This window comes from Homo sapiens, chromosome 20 (assembly GCF_000001405.40).
Source record: "Homo sapiens chromosome 20, GRCh38.p14 Primary Assembly".
Taxonomy (NCBI): domain Eukaryota; kingdom Metazoa; phylum Chordata; class Mammalia; order Primates; family Hominidae; genus Homo; species Homo sapiens.
In genome coordinates this window covers 40,950,354-40,970,243 of record NC_000020.11, presented here as the reverse complement: position 1 = coordinate 40,970,243, position 19,890 = coordinate 40,950,354, and the positions used below count along the sequence as shown (strand labels likewise).

The 19,890-nt window shown below is 48.6% G+C and overlaps 1 annotated feature.

Annotated features, from left to right (window-relative positions):
* Positions 8,677 to 9,308: an enhancer, noted in NCBI's record as "H3K4me1 hESC enhancer chr20:39589576-39590207 (GRCh37/hg19 assembly coordinates)". NCBI's record gives its function as "activates a minimal SCP1, AML or CMV promoter by ChIP-STARR-seq in primed H9 embryonic stem cells {active_cell/tissue: H9 hESC(primed)}" and the evidence as "EXISTENCE:reporter gene assay evidence [ECO:0000049][PMID:30033119]".

Here is a 19,890-nt window from a genome sequence, read left to right as displayed (position 1 = left end):
TGTTTTGGTGTTCATGGGGATACCTTATCATCTAATTTTAAGCGAACATTGTCTGTAGGTTTTGCTTTTGCTAATCTGACCTGCTTATTTTTATTTTTTATTTTTGAGACAGAGTCTCACTCTGTTGCCCAGGCTGGAGTGCAGTGGTGCGATCTCAGCTCACTGCAACCTCCACCTCCCGGGTTCAAGGGATTCTCCTGCCTCAGCCCCCCAAGTAGCTGGGATTACAGGCGTGCATCACCATTCCCAGTTAATTTTTGTATTTTTAGTAGAGATGGAGTTTCGCCATGTTGGCGAGGCTGGTCTCAAACTCCTAACCTCAGGTGATCTGCCTGCCTCGGCCTCCCAAAGTGCTGGGATCACAGGTGTGAGCCATTGCGCCTGACCTGACCTGCTTATTTTTATGTAGAAATTTGGAGGGGTTCAAAAACTGCGCTGGCATTGCTACCAACCATCTTCCCAGCCAGTTCAGTATTTTTGATGCCAGGTGCCATACTGGGCCACAAGGAAGAGGAGATGTAATGATAAATGTGTGTAAAAGCGTGTAAAGTGTCCGGTCATCCTAAGTGTCCTGTAACCCAGCTGATCCTGCCTTCCGCTGCCCTGCAGCTAAAAGCAGGCTGCCTGAGCCAGCAGTGGCAACCCACTCAGGTCCCCTTCCACACTGTGGAAGCTTTGTTTTTTCACTCTTTGCAATAAATCTTGCTGCTGCTCACTCTTTGGGTCCACACTGCCTTTATGAGCTGTAACACTCACCGCAAAGGTCTGCAGCTTCACTCCTGAAGCCAGTGAGACCACGAACCCACCGAGAGGAACGAACAACTCCAGACGTGCCGCCTTAAGAGCTGTAACACTCACCGCGAAGGTCTGCAGCTTCTTTCCTGAGCCAGCGAGACCACGAACCCACCAGAAGGAAGAAACTCCAAACACATCCGAACATCAGAAGGAACAAACTCCGGACACGCCGCCTTTAAGAACTGTAACACTCACCGCAAGGGTCCGCGGCTTCATTCTTGAAGTCAGTGAGACCAAGAACCCACCAATTCGGGACACACAGCCACGCCTGACCCTCTTCCTCAACTGCTGCCGGCTTGACCTCTGGTCTTTGTTCCTGGCTCAGGGGATGGGGCATGCAGTAGGGCACGTCCCCACACTTGCTGTCCTGAGGCTGGGGGACCCCCTGGCCTTTATGCCCTTGTCTTGCCTGCTGGAATGTTTCTGAAGATTTCCTTGTAGAGTGGGTTTTGAAGAAGAGAAAAGAAAGACCTTTGCTCGGCGGCCCGTAAAAGAGATGGTCCGGAGAGCAAGGCCCTGCTGTGAGCATGCCCCGCCATCTGCTGGCCATTTGCTTAATTGCAGCGAGGAGGGCCGTGGGGGCTCCATGCCTTCATACTCAACCAATGACTTGGGTTAATTCCTTTTTCCCTCTAGCTGAAAACGTTGTATTTATTAAATACACCGTTAAAGTAATGATAATAAAGGCAAGCAAATAAAAAGTTTTCCCACACGGCCTCACCCTCCAGACAAGCGCATCTTTTTTTTTTTCTTTCTCTTTAATCATAAATAAAAGTGTGGGCTGGCACAGTGGCTCACACCTGTGATCCCAGCACTTTGAGAGGCTAAGGCAGGAGGAGTGCTTGAGCCCAGGAATTCAAGACCAGTGTTGGCAACAAAGTGAGACCCTGTCTCTACAAAAAAATAAAAAAAAATTAGCCAGGTGTGGTGGTGTGTTCCTGTAGTCTCAGCTACTCAGGAGGCTGAGGTGAGAGGATTACTTGAGCCACAGAGGTTGAGGCCGCAGTGAGCTGTGATTGTACCACTGCACTCTAGCCTGGGGGTCAGAGTGCGACCCTGTCTCAAAAAATGAAATAAAATAAAATAAAATAAAATGTGTATTTACTGTATGGAGACTGGGCCCCTGTGTCCTTCCCTTCTGGCTCTGGAAAAGGGGAGAAAGAGCTCAGATTCTGTAGCCCCAAAATGTTGGCTTTAAATCTCACTTCAGTCACAAGCTGGGCGAGGTGGGCTGGTTAATTCACCTCTCCGTTTATGAATCTCTGTGAATCTCTGTGTGTTAGGCAGGATAACATCTCTCCCCGCTCACCACCACCAAAAAAAAAAAAAAAAAAAAAAAAAAAAAGATGTGTGTATCCTAATGTCTGGAATGTATGATTATCCCGGATTATGCAGGTAGGCCTAACCTAATCACAGGCATCCTTAAATACAGAGAACCTCTTCTGGCTTCAGTAAGAGAGATGTGACATTGCTGGCTTCGACGCTAGAGGAAGTGACTATGAGCCAAGAAACATGGGTGGTCTCTGGAAGCTGGAGAAAGGAAGGAGATAGATTTTCCTGAGAGCTCCCAGAAGGAACACAGCCCTGCTGACACCTTGATTTTAGCCCATAGGGCCTGGGTTGGACATCTGACCTCCAGTCAGAAAATAAACTTGTGTTGTTTTAGCCACTGTGTGTGTTAATTCGTTGTTGCAGAGATAGGAAATGAGTACACTGCATTATGTGGGCAATAATAGTACCTATTTCTCTCTCTCTCTCTCTTTTTTTTTTTTTCCTGAGACAGAGTCTCGCTCTTGTTGCCCAGGCTAGAGTGAAATGGCACGATCTTGGCTCACTGCAACCTCCACCTCCCGGGTTCAAGCGATTCTCCAGCCTCAGCCTCCAGAGTAGCTGGGATTACAGGCTTCCACCACCATGGCTGGCTAATTTTTGTATTTTTAGTAGAGACGGGGTTTCACCATGTTGGCCAGGCTGGTCTCGAACTCCTGACCTCAGGTGATCCACCCACTCAGCCTCCCAAAGTTCTGGGATTACAGGTGTGAGCCACTGCACCCAGCCTAATAGTACCTATTTCACGGGGTGGTGGGGAGAATGAAACTGGAAAACTGTGGGGGGTGCTTTGTAAATTGTAAAACATTTTATAAATGTCTTAAGGTCTCCTTTAGGAGGATGTCCCTTTATTATTTTACTTATTCCAGTTATTTTCTGAGCATCTACTGTGTGCCAGGCATTGCACTAGTTGCAAGGGGTTACAGGAGTGAACATAGTCCCTTCTTTCATGGGGCTTACAGGTCACGCGGGTAGCAGGACATTAAAAGGCCATGCAAGCATATGCATCACGGAATTATAATTGTGATGTGCGCAATGAAGGGATTGTCACAGGGAGCTGTGAGAGTGTGGAGCCAGGAACCTGCCAGACCTCAGGTTTCAGGCCCCAGGCTTTGGGCAGGGTCTCCAACCTCTCCAGGTCTCATTTTCCCACCTAGGCTGGTCCGCCCTGATCATGGATAGGGTGCCAAACCAGAACTCAGGCCACAAACAGCCTCCTAGGGGCCATCAGATGGGTCTATGCTCATCCAGAAATCTGGGGCCTTACAGGGAGACTCCTGTGCTGGTACATTGGGTGTTGGGGTGTGGAGTCCTTGTTTGAGTTCAGTGAGGTCAGAGCTGCTTGGAATGATGGGCACGGGAGAAGGCAGGGCTTGGCACATGGCCCCAGACTGCGAGCCCTCAGGCCTTCATCTTTTTCTTTAACAATTTCAGAATACGGCTTACCAGGCTGGGCTGGGCTCAGGCCTGTGGCTGCAGGGAGTGAATCTGAGTCGGGGTTCAAGGCCTTGTGGCCACAGATGAGGGGACAGCAGCAGGGACACTTTATTGGGCTCTAGAATCCTCTCTCTAGTGGCAACCTGAGCTGCCCTGTGTTGTCTCCTGGGTTTTCCAGAGCTGCCTGGTAGCCCTGCCCTAGGCCTCCTGTGAAATGAACAGGATCCTTTGGAAACAGACTTCCAGGGGGCACAAGACAGTCCCTGTGCCCCAACAGACCACAGAATCTTATCCTGCTAGTGGTGCTTTTTGATGGGGACTGGAGGCTCACAATGAATTGCAGAGTTGAGACAAGCAGAGGACCCTCAAGGCCAAGCCTGGGTGCAGATCAGAGTCCCAGGGGACCCCATGCCAGTGAGAGACCAGAGACAGAGCAGGAGCTCTGCTGTTACCTGGTGGCAGATTTCGGAACTGCTGTTGGATCAGATGCCTCCTCTCTTGGGGTCTCGACTTTCAGTTCCACCCTGTTTAGCTCAGCTCATCTCAGCTCCTGACAAAGTGGACAATAGAGAGGGCCCAGAGAATAAATTTGGTAGAGATGGTGGCAAGTTTGGGCCATAGAGTCCCTTTTGCCTTTCACTATCCTAGCACTGGCCAGGTTCACCATAGTTCTGAGAATCAAGGGCAATTCCAGAAAAAGGGCTGTTATTGGGAACTGGGCAGCCACCCTGCCCTAACCCTCATCCTCCTCCAAAGAGACCACCATGGGCTTCACAGGCCTCAAGGTCAGTGCTGACGATGTCTCCTCTAGACCTGACACCCTGGAAACCTTCAGTTTACTCGGGCACCTGCAGCCCAGGTCAGGGGCCATAACACATGATGGGCATCGATGGGAAATATAGTGCTGGCTAGCTCAGATTTTCACAGGAGACTCCTCACAGGCTGGGAAACATGGGAACTGGTCCACCCTTGGATATCGACTTAAATCATTCTGGCTATTATTAAAAAGTAAAAAAACAACAGATGCTGGCGAGATTGCAGAGAAAAAGGAATGCTTTTACACTGTTAGTGGGAATGTAAATTAGTTCAACCATTGTGGAAGACAGCGTGGCAATTCCTCAAAGACCTAGAGGCAGAAATACCATTTGGCCCAGCCATCCCATTACTGGGTATATACCCAAAGGAATAGAAATCATTCTATTATAAAGAGACCATGCACACGTATGTTCATTGCAGCACTCTTCACAACAGCAAAGACATGAGGTACATATACACCAAGGAATACTATGCAGCCATAAAAAGGAACGAGATCACGTCCTTTGCAGGGACATGGATGAAGCTGGAGGCCATTATCCTCAGCAAACTAACACAGGAACAGAAAGCCAAACACCGCATGTTCTCACTTATACATGGAAGCTGAATGATGAGAACACATGGACACCTTGGGGGGAAACAACACACACTAGGGCCTATGCGATGGGGTGGGGGGAGGGAGAGCATCAGGAGGAATAGCTAATGGATACTGGGCTTAATCCTAGGTGATGGGATGATCTGTGCAACAAACCACCATGGCACTCGTTTACCTACGTAACAGGCCTGCACATCCTGCATATGTACCCCGAACTTAAAATAAAAGTTGAAAAAAAAAAAAAGAAATGTAGGCCATTCCTCCCAGTCCTCACCTATCTGTAAGAAGGTATGTGTCTGCAAGTTATATGGTGTAACTATGGAGGTGCCACTAACCCTCAGATGAGCCAGCCTGAAGGCCATGGAGTGGTCAGCTGAAATCCTGAAATTAGGAATGCAAAATGTTTATGAGACAGGTGATTTTTTTAAGAAATGAAATTTAGAACCCTTTACATGTATCTCTTAAGAAGTAGTGTCTTAGAAAAATTATAAAAGAAAACCGAAGAAAGAATAAGGCCTATAGAAAAGTGGGAAGCATTTTGGCAAATGTGTTTTAGATCCTTAACTTGGCTTCAGCTGGGGTAAATGAACTAGTGAATGAATTTGTTTTTGTATAAACTTATTAGTAATAGAAAATTATTTTTGGCCAGGTGCACTGGCTCGTGCCTGTAATCCTAGCACTTTGGGAGGTTGAGGTGGGCAGATCACTTGAGGTCAGGAGTTTGAGACCAGCCTGGCCAATAGGGTGAAATCCCATCTCTACCAAAAATACAAAAATTAGCTGGGCATGGTGGCGTGTGCCTGTAATCCCAGCTACTCAGGAGGCTGAGGCAGGAGATTCGCCAGAACCCGGGAGGTGGAGGTTGCAGTGAGCCGAGATCACGCCCCTGTATTCCAGCCTGGGTGACAGAGTGAGACTCCATCTCAAAAAAAAAAAAAAAATTTTTTTTTCTTCTCTTCTCCAGCAAAATGATGTTGACAAGTATTAAAGGGAACATGGGCACTTACCACAGGGGAACTCATATGCATGCACTTTGAGAGACTATGGACTTGGAGGATGTGGCTGTAGCAGTTTGTAGGAGTTAAAATTTGGAAACAACTCAAGTGTCATCAGCAGGGGCACAGATAAATACATCGTGGTGCATAAGGCAGATGTCAGTTGTGTGACAGCCTCCTTAGTTAAAACAAATGATCTCTGTGTATTGCCATGCAAAGAACCAAAAAACTATGTAGACTTAGAAAGCAAGTTGCAATAGCATATATACAGTCTATTATTTATACATGCAAGTTGCAATAGCGTATATACAGTCTATTTATTTATTGTAACAAAAGAGGAAAACACCATGGGGAACACACAGTGCTTTCATTTGTCAAAGAATGAATAAGTGCGTCTTTTCCTGGGTAAGTCCTGGTCACCTTTCAGCTCTCAGCTCAGTATGTTACTGCTTCAGCGCAGTAGGTGCCTGGTCAGTGGGTCTCAGAACCCAAATCTTTCCTTTACGTCTCCCGTTATAGTCGCATATTTGTGTGATTATTTGGTTAATGTCCTTCTTCCCCACAGGATTCATTTGAGCAGGGACCCTGACCACCCTCTTCACCACGGTATTGCTAGAACTTAGCCCAGTGCCTGACACACGGTACCTAGTCAGTGAATTTCTGATTTCTGTCTGTTCCCCTGACTAGGTGTAAGCTCCATGAAACGAAGGGGTGGGACAGGGGAGGGGTGCTGGTTTTCTTTCTCATGGAATCCCCCAAGGCTTAGCAATTAGGAGGGCAGGCTGTGGAGTCAGAATTCGAGAGCTCAAATCCTGACTCTGCCACTGCTAGCTGTGTGACCTTGGTCAAATAAACGTTGCATCTCCGAGCTCAATGTCTTTATTTGTAAAAAGGGTAAGGATGCCTTCCTTAGAGTGTTGTTAGAATTAAATGGTATAGCGCGTGAAAACAACGCACCAAAGTGCTTGGTATTGGGGCCTCATTTATTTGTTGAATGTCCAAGTACCCCTGTTGTGAGAAGCACCTGGGCTGGGGCCTGTCCCACTCGGAGAGGATGCTGCTTGTGTTCCACCCTCTGGGGCCCCTTAGGTCATTTCTTATATTTCCACCAGGTGGCGCTGTGGCCATTCGCGCCGGTAATGCTCAGCCGGCACAAAGCTTCAAAGTGGCTTCCAGTCTCCTTCCCAGCCAGAAGCCTGTCTGCAGGTCCCCAGGTGGCCGTCCCACTCTGCTTTAACCTCTCAGAGATGGGGTGCTCACTGTTACCAGGCTGGAGACGCTTTCGGGGCTGGTCTGAGCGTCTCTGTCCTCTGGGTTGGGGCAACTGGACCCTGCGGGACTGGGGAAGCCCAGATGGAAAGTCATGGGCTGACCAGGGTTGGAAGGGATTTAGGTGAGGCCAGCGAGGTGCTCAGGAGGCGCTCACTCTCAGTGTGCAAGGGTGGGGCTGACCTCACTGGAGGCCTCATGAGGACACCTTGTGGTTGGGCTGCCGCCAGTCCACGGCTTTAGACCTGCCTGTCCTCCACTAATCCACAATAGTGTAGGGCACCCACCATGTCCCAGGCTCCATATGAACTCACTTGTTTCTCTTAAGAACCCTAGCTAGTAAGAACTATTATTATCTGCATTTTTCAGATAAGAAAATTGACGTAGGGACAAATTAAGAAACTTGCAGGTAAAAAGTGGCAAAGCTGAGGTTTGAGCCCTGGCAGTTTGGCTCTGAGTGTCACCTCTTAGCCATTCTCTTCCACGGCTGTGCTGACCTGTCCATCCTTCCTTCCCTCCCTCTACCAGTCTCCCCATCCAGCACACACTTGCTGAGCTGTCACTCTGTGGGGCCCAGGTGGGAGCAAAGCTGGGCACTACCCTGGCCCTTGTGCGGTTTTCAGCCCATCAGGTGGAGACCTGGCTCTGCCATGACTTTATCCTGTGACCTTGGACAGGTCATTTAACATCGCTGTGCCTCAGCGTCTTCATTGTGAAATGGGAATGAGAATCCTGGCCTCGTTAAGTTTTGGGGAGGATGGAGTGACTCCAACCTTTGGAGCTGCAGCCTGGCACCCAGGGGCGCATGGGAAGTAGTGGCCATGATTGTGATTGGCATCAGCATGGAGAGGCTCCTTCCAGCCCACACTGGAACTGGACCTAGAGTCAGGTGCTCGGGTGGCCATGTGGAAGCGTGGAGGAAGAATCGAGTCAGGATCTGCTGTTCCTGGGCTTGAATCTTGGCTTTGGCACCGTGAGGGTCTGAGACTCGTGATTTTGGGCAAGGCTTTTCATCTTTCTGAGTTCTCCCTTAAAAACAAGAATGACTAATACCAACCTTGTGGTATCCTTGTGGTTGTTCTATGAAGTAACAAGCGCTTGGCACATAATGGGCACCTTTGTAAAATTTCATTTCCTGTCCTCAAGAAGAATCAGATGGCTGTGCAAACCCAGGGATCAACACATCTGGAGTTCTTGGCACCTCCCCTTCTCCCAAGGAAGGCCTGGACCTTGTGGGATGGGCTGCAGAATTCCATTTTTTTTTCCTTTTGCTTTCTTTCTTTGTTCTTGTTTGTGTTTTATTTCTTGAGAAAGGCAGGGTGGGGACAGTGGTGCATTTCTCAGCCACCCATGCATAGGACTCCATGTTAGCTGTCTGGGTGCCCAAAAGAAGGCTGCACGTTGGCCTCTTAACACCCAGGGCAGTAGGAGGGTCAGTTGGTGGGTGTGGGACACTGGGGTCGCCTCTCTGTGCCTGAGGCATCCTGAGATGCCATGCTCCAGATGGCAGGGGGAAGGCTGAGGGCTGAGAGGCTGCTGAGGGCTGGGGAGCCCTGTCTGGTCCAGCCTCTTCCAAGGTCTAGGGCTGTCCTGGGTGTCCTGATGCTTCTGCTGCTCCTGCCCAGAGATTAGAGCAGGGCCGAGCTGTGGCCCTGCCCTGGGGTGTTGAGCCCAGTTGAGGTGGCAATGGGTAGTTACTCAGGGGCTGGAGTTAGGACAGCTGGGCAGTGAGGGGTAGCTGCCCTGGGATCTGACCTAGCAGGCTGGCATTACCCCTGCTCAGTATCCATCACCTTCCCCATGTGTCCCAATGCTGGAAGCCTCATAGCAGGGTCACTTCGTGCTTCTTCCTGCTGGGTGTTTCCATACACAGTGTCACTGATACTGTAGCCATATCTGCCCTTCTGTTTCAGAGAAGAGGAAACCAGGACGAGACGTGACCCATCCAAGGTCCCGCAACAAGAAAGTGTCCACATCCAGTGGAGATTCACACTCAGCTCCGCCTGGCCCCACCCCTCCCCCTTTTCTTCCCCCTCCCCCTTCCCTGGCCCCCGCTCCTCCAGTACTTAATTTTAATGGCCTTTTGATTGCGAGCCTCTTCTTGAAGAGAGACAAATCATTATTGATGAATTTGGACTGCTCCAGTGTAAATGAGTCAACGGGGCCTGGCGTGGGTAGCTGGCCAAGCCATGCAGGCAGCAGGAATCTCAGGACCAGGCCCTGTGGGCCACAGAGAGCCCTGGTGTAGCCTCTTGTAAGCCGTTTATTTCCGTTCCCAATTAAACCAGGCGCTTGGCTGGAAGGGGTGTCCTTATCCTGGAGCTGGGGGGTGGGTGGCTTACAGAAGATCCTGGCCCCTAGGCCTGAGAACAGAGCCCCAGGATGGCCTGGGCTCCCCCTCTCCACCTGGCAGTCCCCTTTGGCCTGGGTAAATCGGAAATGAGGGCGGCCGCAGTGAGTCCCAGCCCTCACCCTCCATGCTCGGCTGTTTTCTTGGCAGCAAGACCTAGGGAGGCTCCCATGGCTGATTTTAGATTTGTTTTCAAAAACTGAAAGGAGAGAAATAATCCTAGCGAGAAAACAAAACAAAACAATAAAAAACAAACAAAACCTCTTCTAAAATGTTTCAGTCCTGAGCCTTGTCCCCACTCTGTGTGCACTTTCTGGTATTTGACCACCTTTGCCACCAGCCCCTGCTGCTGGGACCTTGAGCCAGCCCCAAAGCTCGTGAGTCCCTGTCCTCTGCCGTGGAATGGGGATTACATTATACACATCTCTGGGTTTGGGAGGTGATGGAAGGAGATGGGGGAAAGGGATGCATTTTGTAAATGAGGCCTTCTGATGATAATTTTATCATAGGCAGTAGACAAATACACTCACACGCCCCCAAATCACTAATGGGACCTCCCTCTGAAGGTGCTCCTTGCTTCTTGAGACGGGCATGATTACTCAGTAGATTCTGTGTAATTATTTAATCAAGCTCCAGCGAGTCCTCAAGTCCTCGGTGTGGAGCTGGGCTGCTGACCAGGCCCCAACCTCCCCTCCTCCTGCAGGGAGGCATAATCAGAGATGCTGAGAGGGAGGAGAAGCCCCAAGCACTTCTTTTCTTTGTGCAACAACTGGGTTGTGTGGGAGGGACAGCCGGGAGGGAGGGGGCCAGGTCACCTTGGGGCTCTCTTCAACAGTGGACGGGGCAGGAGGGGTCTTTAGAGACCTGTTTATGCTGTGCCTTTCTCTTTGAGGACACTGAGGATCAGAGAGGAAAAGCCAGCACGTCCCATGATTTCCCAACTGCAGACTTGGCTTCTGCCACTCATTCCCTCCCTCCCTCCCTCCCTTCCTCCCTTCTTTCTTTCCTTCCTTCCTTTCTTCCCTCTTTCCTTCCTTCCTTCCTTCTTTCCTTCCTTCCTTCCTTCCCTCCTCCTTCCTTCCTTCCCTCCTTCTTTCCTTCCTTCCTTCCCTCCTTCTTTCCTTCCTTCCTTCCTCTCTTCCTCCCTCCCTTCCTTCCTTCTCTCCTTCTCCTTCTTGACCCTCCTTTCCCATTGATTCCCTTCCCCTCCCCTTCCCTCCCTTTCCCTTCCCTCTCCTCCTTTCTCTCTTATAATGAAAGTACTGAACAGATGGCTGGGTGCAGTGGCACAGGCCTGTAATCCCAGCACTTTGGGAGGCTGAGGCTGGTGGGTCACCTGAGATCGGGAGTTTGAGACCAGCCTGGCCAACATGGCGAAACCTCATCTCTACTAGAAATACAAAAATTAGCTGGGCGTGGTGGTGGGCACCTGTAGTCTCAGCTACTTGGGAGGCTGAGGCAGGAGAATTCCTTGAACCCGGGAGGTGGAGGTTGTAGTGAACCGAGATGGCGCCACTGCACTCCAGCCTGAGCGACAGAGTGAGACTCCTTCTCAAAGAAAACAAACAAAGAACAAAAAAGTACTGAACAGATGCATGCATTCTCATGGTCAAACATGCAGATCATACAACAAAAGCAAAGGTCTCCCCAGATCCCTCTCTTCCCCCCCACCCAAATTCCCAATTCCCTCCTCAGAGACAACCCCAGCTCCCAGTTTGGAGACTCCCTTCAGACTTTCTGCTATGCATTCATACATTTACCTAAGTTCCTATAGAAGTTCTAGTTAGGTGTTTACTTTGGTTCATGTAAACATTCCTGACAATGCTGTCTAGACCAGTTCTCACTGTGGGGGGTGGGAAAGCGGGATGGGGAGGGAATTTTACTCCCCAGGAGACATTTGACACCATCTGAAGACATTTTTGATCATCATGGCTGGGGAGGGAGGTGCTCCTGGCATCTGGTGTGTAGAGTGCTAAAGGAGTGTTGCTAAACAGCCTGCCTTGCCCCGGACAGCCCCCAACACGAAGAATGATCCGGCCCAAAATGTCAGTAGTGCCAAGGTTGAGGAATCCTGGTCTGGAACGTTCTCAACTTGCTTTTTTCTAATAATAATAATGATTAATAATAATAATATATCTTGGAAATCTTTGCAGGTTAGGCAATATCTTTCTCTCATTCTGATGACTTCTGTGTCTTCTTTTGACTACATCACAGTCCATCCATCTCATCCCCTTTAGATTGATTTCAGGTTGTTTGTGACTTGGCGGTATTAATAGAAACATCCTTGTTATTCCCTGGTTTGGATGCTTGGGAGTGGGATTGCTATGTCAAAGGGGTAGTTATTGGTTGATTGATTTACTAAGTCCTCATATAGTGCTTCTATTTTAAATACAACAGGCACTTATTTATTATTGTTATTATTTTGAGATGGAGTCCTGTTCTGTTGCCCAGGCTGGAGCGCAGTGGCACAATCTTGGCTCACTGTAACCTCTGCCTCCCAGGTTCAAGCGATTATCCTGCCTCAGCCTCCCGAGTAGCTGGGATTATAGGCGCGCGCCAAGACGCCTGGCTAATTTTTTTGTATTTTTGGTAGAGACGGGTTTTCGCCATGTTGGTCAGGCTGGTCTCAAACTCCTGACCTCAGGTGGTCCGCCCGCCTCAGCCTCCCAAAGTGCTGGGATTACAGGCCACAACATCCACTTATTTTTAACTTTGATAGATACACTGCGCTTTTCCACAAAGGCTGTGCCAGCTGACCCTCTGTCCTTTCCTAGCTCAAAGCCAAGGTTTCAAGGAAAATGATACAAACAAAAGTTTTGAGTTATAGTTACTATGTCTTCAAGAGGACTAAAGGAAACTCAACCTTCCTAGGGTGGATGGGGGCCCAGTCTTGCCAGCCCCAATGGCAGCCCTTGCCATAGGCCCTCCACCATGTAGCTGGCAAGGGACAGACTTGTCCATCCCCATCAGCCCTGTGCAGCATGAAGGGGAAGAACTGGGACAGGCTGGGAGCCTCTGTTTTGCAGATAAGGCTCAGCAAGGCTGTGTGATTTGCCCACCAGCTCCGAGAAGTCACATCTTCCCAGAGCCCCTAGTGGGACGCCCATGGGTTGAGCAGGGGGAGAGCAGCGTGCAGAGTGAGACTGGGCTATGGTTATGGACACTGGAACTTCTCATAGTGACATCAGCTCAATACTCTACCAGGTCCCTCATGGCCCTGGGGCCAGGGTTGCCAGGTTTTACATGACATCTATGCAATATTTGGGACATTCTTACCCTAAAAAATTGTTCATTGTTTATCTGAGATTTGAAAGTAACTGAGCAACCGTGTTTACCTGGCGACCCTGCCTGCTGCTCTCTGCACCGTGTCTTCTCCATGGATAAAGGGGCAGGAAGGGGCAAATGGCTGGGACCAGACAATCTCTCCATTTCTCACCTACCCCTTTCTCCCTTCTCTCCCGCTTCCTTCAGAGTCTGAACATCCATATTCGAGAGCATGTTCTTGCCTACATGTGAATGGCAAGGCTGGAACGGAAGGCGGCAGACGTGTCCAGGGCAGCACTGATGGCCGGACTGACCCCACCTCCCCCCATCGTCCATACTTAGAGCCAGCGGCCACTGCAAGTGTAATTAGTCAATAAATCATCCCGAGTGATAAATAGAATGATAGATGCAGGTTTCACTTGATCACTTTTTTATTAAGGAGAAATAAATCAGCACCACATTGTTGCTATAAACCTTTCAAACTGGTCAGATCCTGGCTGGTAGGAGCTGATTAACATGGCCACGTGTAGAGACCATTTGTAGCTGATCATTGAGATCAATCAATCCCTGTCAAGTTCCCTTCTTAGAAGAGGTGGCAGAAGCCAGGTGCTGTTCCACCATCCACTGCTCCTGTGGCTTCTTGCCGCAGGGGCAATGGGGAGAGTGTGAGCGTGCTTTGGTGCCAGACAGCCCAGATTTGAATCCCAGCTGAGCCACCAACCAGCTGTGTAACCCCGGCTAGCTGTCATCCCCTCTCTTGGCCTCAGCTTCCTCTTCCCGAACAAGAGCGTGACACCAGGAACTTCCTTAGAGAGTTTTTCTGAGCATTGTGGTGTCAAACTTCTTGGTTTCAGGACCCTATTATGTGCCTAAAAATTGTCAAAGACCCCCCCCACCATGAACTTTTTCTCTATGTGAGCTCTATCAATATTTATTATATTAGAAATTAAAAAAAATTTACTTACTGACTTAAACAATCATAAGCCCAATACATATCAACATAAATAACATTTTTATTGAAAAATAACTATTTTCTAAAGTAAGAAGAATGTGAGAAGAGTGTCATTGTACTCTATTTTTTGCAAATCTTTAGAGTCTCATATCTACTTTTTTTTTTTTTTTTTTTTTTTGAGACAGTGTCACTCTGTTGCCCAGGCTGGAGTGCAGTGGCTTGATCTTGGCTCACTGCAACCTCTGCCTCCTGGGTTCAAGTGATTCTCATGCCTCAGCCTCCCAAGTAGCTGGGACTACAGGCATGCACCACCAAGCCTGGCTATTTTTTTTGTATTTTTAGTAGAGATGGGGTTTCACCACGTTGCCCAGGCCGATCTCCAACTCCTGAACTCACGCAATCTGCCGCGCTCGGCCTCCCGAAGTGCTGGGATTACTGGCAAGAGCCACCACACCTGGCCTCATATTTACTTTTGCATTCAATCTGATAAGTTCTGATAAGTTGTTTTGGTTCAAGGGTATGAAGAAAATCCGGTCTCATTCCAATATGCAGTTAGAAAAAGAAGGAAGGATTTTAATAGTCTTTTCAGGTAATTGTGGCTATATCAAGTAGCCTCTGGAAAACTCCTCCATATATCCATGGAAGAATGAGAGTCAAAAGGCAAATAATATCTTAGCATTATTATGAAAACAGTTTTGACCTTGTGGACCCCCTGAAAGGGTTCCAGGGGCCTCCAGGGTCCCCAGACTCCAATGTGAGAACCACTGAAATGGAGACAGCCTGGAGAAGGGCCTGGACACAGAGGTGGTCTTCTGGAGACGCTGAATCCTGTCCCTGGCCTATGTCTTGCTAGGTCTTAAAGAGCCTATTTTCTTCTCCTCCCACACACCCTCTATGGAGGTAGTGCTGATGTCTTTCTGTGCTCACCCAGGTCCTCTGCCCACCTCCTCCCCCTGCTCTGGCCCTGGGGTCTGACTTATGAGTGTATTACAAGCTTCCAACTTCTGGAATGGGTTCAACCAATGGGAGGTTCTAGCCGGAGACTGGAGGGTGGGAGGACAGTGAGGTTTGGGACATTTATTTCTCCAGCTCCCTCCCCACCAGGTTGGTGGCTGAAGCTGCAGCTGCTGTTGGCAGCCCCTTCTCTCCCTAGCCCCCACTAACTGCTCTCCTCCTTGTCCCTGCAGGCCTTGGTGTGGTAAGGGTTCCCCACTGTTGCTGTTCATGGAGTGTGGCACCATCCTGGTGTTTTGCTCACTTAAAAAAAAAATTAAACCCTCCTCAATTACTACCTGTTTCCTTTGGGATTCTGACTGATGCATGGTTTTCTGGGAAAACTTCCGTTTTTGGATAAAACCGGAGGAAATACACCGAATGAGGAATGCGAGTAACTCCACCCCATCCAATTGCATGGGCTTCACGGTTTGGTTTACAAAGTGCCTTCCCAGCCTTCATTTATGAGTTCCTCGGTAGAACCTCCGAGAGGCCAGGCTCAGAGAGGACAGACCTGCCTAAGGCCACACAGTCGTGAAATGATCTTGGCTTGTGGGGTCCTAGATGCCCTTGTGACCTACACCACTTCCAAGAGCTATGTGGGTCTTGAGGATCCCTGCTTCCTGGTCCCCCCTTGCTGTGGTTGTATCTATCCTGGAACTCTCTGTCCAAATCCCTCACCCCATCTTCTGCAACCACAGCAAGTGTTCATATCAGGTCCTTCCAGCCTCCTCCTAGCTGGGTGCTCCTTAGCTGGTGCTACACCTTTAGCTCTGCCCCTAGCATGGCCTATAGAAGGCTGATGCTCACGTGCCCAGGGCCCATGGCTGCCCCAACCATTTTCCCTGCTCTTGACCAAGCCTCCTCTCTTTTCATGACTCCATGCCTTTGCCCATGTTCTTTCTTCTCTCGCCTGTCCTCCCTGGACAGACATGTGCTCATTTTTTGTCGTCTGGAAAGCCTCTCCTGACTGTGGCTCTTCGTTCTTCCCTGCAGAACTAAGTTCTTCCTCCTAGGTGCTCCCAGAGCTCTGTGCACATCTTGGATGTGTCAGCATTACACCTTGCTATAGTCTCTTTCTCCCTCCTTCTCCTCCTCCTCCTAATTCTTCTTCCTTTCTTTGTCCCCACCCCCCTCATTTCTTACCATGCTCCTGACCCCTCAATGTGTGTATCAGTTAGCTACTGCTGTGTAACAAACCATTCTAAAACTTTGTGGTTAAAAACAATGGCTGTGTATGTAACTCATAATTCTGTGGGTCAGCTGGGTGGTTCTGCTGATCATTGCTGGGCTTGGCTGAACAGTTTTACTAACTCTCAGCTGGGGATCCCTCATGTGTTACTGATTTTTGGCTGATCTAGCACAGCCTTGACTGGGATGACTCATTTATGCTCTGCGTGGTCTCTCACCCTCCAGCAGGCTAGGCCAAACTTGTGCTAATGGTGACTGAGCAGGGTTCCAGGAAAAGCAGCAGAATCATGCCCAGCTGCTCGAGGCCCACGCTCGGAACTGGCACGGTGTCATTTCCAGCACATTCTATCAGGCAAAGCAAGTCACCAGGCCAGCCCAGATTCAAGGGATGGGAAAATAGACTTCACCTCTTGATGGGAGGAGCTGTAAAGTCTCATTGGAAGGGATGTGGGTACAGGGAAGGAAAAAATTTGGGCCACCTTTGCAATAAATCTATCTCAACTAAAGCTAGCTGAGAGAAGATTCTAAAGCTCACGAGTAATTTTTATAGTCCAAACTCTTGACTATGGCCTACAAGGCCCTATATGGACTAGCCCTACCAACTTCCTCATCCTTAGCTTGCACCACGTTCCAGCCACATTGGCCTTTTTTTCCAGTGCCTTGTCCTTAAAATGCTTCCTCCTGCCACAGAGCTTTTGCATGTGCTGGTTTCTCTGCTAAGACTACTCTACTTTAGTGTTTCCCTTAATTAATGTACCCCCTCCTTTGCATTTCAGCTCAAGCCCTTCCTGATTTCCCTGGCTAGGTTGAATCCTTTTATTATAGACTCTCAGAATATGACATACTTTGCTTTTTACAGTTGCAGTTTTAAGTTTGTATTCATTTAACAAACACTTACATGGAGCTTACCATATACCAAGCACTACTCCAAGTGTATTATAAATATTAAGTCATCTAATCTTCAATACATTTTTGAGGCAAGTACTATTATTATTATTATTTTTAGAGACAGGGTCTTGCTCTGTCACCCAGGCTGGAGTGCAGTGGCACCATCACTGCTCACTGCAGTCTTGAACTCCTGGGCTCAAGTGATCTTCCCGCCTCAGCCTCCCGAGTAGCTGGGATTACAAGCACACATTACCACACCCAGCTAATTTTTAAATTTTTTTGTAGAGACAGAGTCTTGCTACATTGCTTAGGCTGGTCTCAAACTCCTGGCCTCAAGCAATCCTCCTGCCTCAGCCTCCCAAAGTGCTAGAATTACATGTGAACCACTGCACCCAGTCTATTATTTTCCCCATGTCACAGATGAGGAAGCTGAGGCACCAAGAGGCTGAGTGACCAAGCCAAGGTCACACAGCTGTTAAAGGATGGAACAGGGATTCGTGTTATTTATATTTTTTCCATTTTCAGAGTGTAAGCTGATGGATGGATGGAGCAGGAATTCAAATTCCAGAGAGTCTGGGCTCCACTACCCCTCTTGTCTCTCACTATGCTGTGATTATTCGATTCAAATCTGTTTTCCCAACCAGAGTGTGAACCTGCTGAAGGCAGAGACCACGTTTGTTTGCTGACAATTTTGCCTCCCCAGGGTCTGGCGCAGCATCTGGCACACACTAGGTGCTCAACAAATATTTGTGGAATGAATGAACTGGAGACATGAGCCACTGATGAAGGGACTTTCTGTAGCTCCTTTGAATTGCAGGGTCCTAAGACTCTCTGCAGCCTGATTTCTTCCTTGAGGGATGCTCCTCACGCCCTGGGGCCCCTCCTGCAGGCCCACAGCCTCCACTCTGCTGAAACCCTGAATCCCAGAAACGTCCCTTTGCATAGACATCTCTGGCAGCTGCTTCCCCTGCAATGGCCCCGAGGAAGTTTCGACAATGCCAATTCCCACCCGCGTTGCAGCCACCCCTGAATGAATGTCCCTGCTAAGAGTGCAGTTTTCTCTCCCTCTCGCCCTAACTTTGATTTGATCAGGCCAAATCTGAAATGATGTGTGAAAGTAATGATATTTTGTAATTAAATCTCTGGTGACGGCCACTGCAATTTGTGCTACATGCATTGTTCATAAGGAAAAAACGCATCAATTCATTTTCTGACTGGCTACTCCAGGGACTGGCAATTAGGAGCAGCTCATCTCTCGTTGCCTCGCATATTAAAGAGCTACTGAAACGCAAAGAGAATTTGGGAGGGTTTTCTTTTTCTTTTTTTCCCAACCTTCTAATAATGTTAGCTTAATTAGGGAGGCTCAGTGATAAAGGGAAAGTTTTGGATGATTTGAGCATGGTGTGGTGGAAGGAAGAGAATGAGCAAATAAAGAGAAATGAAAGTGTCAGGCACAGGGGCTATGATGGCTGGAAGATTATGAAGGTTCTACCCTGCAAGGCTTGACTTTGTAGGGTCAGGCTGGGGTGTGGCTAAGAACAGGAGGGTCCCAGGGCATCCTGGGTGCCACAGATCTAAGCTAAGTGCTGCTCCCTTCCACTCTGGCAGGATCTTTTCTTTTGCATTCTTAAAAAAATGTATTTTTTATTGAGCCTTGGAATGTGTCTTTTTCACTTGCCCCCCAAATGATGGCTCGTCCATCCTCTAACTGGTTACTGCTGTTGGCATCTTCACTGGACCAAGGTACTGAAAGTCAGTTCCATCTTTTTTTTTAAAGAAGACTTTATTCTTTTAGAGCATTTTCAGGTCCATAGCAAAATTAAGTGGAAAGTACAGAGTTCCCACATTCCCCTACCCCCACCCTTACCCAGAAGCTCCCTCACGATCAACATCCTGCTGGGAGTGGGACATTTGTCACAATCAGCGAACCTACCTTGACACATCAGTATCACCCAGGGCCCATAGTTTACACGAGGGTTCACTCTTGGTGTTGGCTATTCTATGGGTTTTGACAAATGTCTGATGACTTGTATCACCATTATAGTACCATATGCAATAGTTTCACTGCCCTAAAAATCTTCCATGCTCTGTTATTCATCCCTCTCTGGCAACCTCTGGTCTTTTTATTGTTTTGTCTCCATAGTTTTGTCTTTTCCAGAATGTTACATAGTTGGAACCATACAGTGTGTACCCATTTCAGATTGGCTTCTTCCACTTAGTAACATGCCTTTAGGGACATCCCTTTTCCAAGCTCATCTCTTAGAGCCCAGGAAAGCCTTTTCCCTGATCTCCACTCTTCATGTGTCCAAGCCTTTGGTTCTGTCTGTGCAGACCCCAGTAAGGACTTAGTCTATGTGCTGATTGCCTGAAGGCGTGGGCAGAGTTGGAGATGAGAGGGACAGTGATCACAGAGGATGGATTGGGGAGTGGGGATGGAAGTGGAGTGTGGTGAGGGCCCAGGTAGAAAAACAGGGAGGTTCGGGACCCCGGGATCTAAGATGAAGAAAGGCAAGACCAAATGCTGAAGTAGATTTGGTCAACGTTATTTATGCTTCTAGAGTCTTCCAGACAAGGTGCTTGTCTAGTGGTTTCACGAAAACTTTTAATTTGGTGCTTGCAATAACCGCGCTGCTTAGAGTGACATGATTAGTACAGCCCATTTCACAGGAGAAGAAACTGAGGCTCAAGGAGGAAAGGACCTATGCCCAAATCTGACAGCCAGCAAGGACAGTGCTAGATCTGAATTCCGGGTCAATACTAGGCCAGTGCAGAACTTTCTACGATGGTGGAAATGTTCTAGATCCGCACTGCCCAACATGGTAGCCACGAGCCACATGTGGCTACTGAGAACTTGAAATGTGGCTAGTGAGACTGAGGAACTGAATTTTACATTGTATTTAATTTTAATTAATGTAAATTTAAATAGCCACATGTGGTTGGTGGCTTCCTATTGGACCACACAGCTAGACTCTTGGAGACCTTGGTGCAGCTCCCCAGCTGCCCCCAGCCCGTGAGTTTC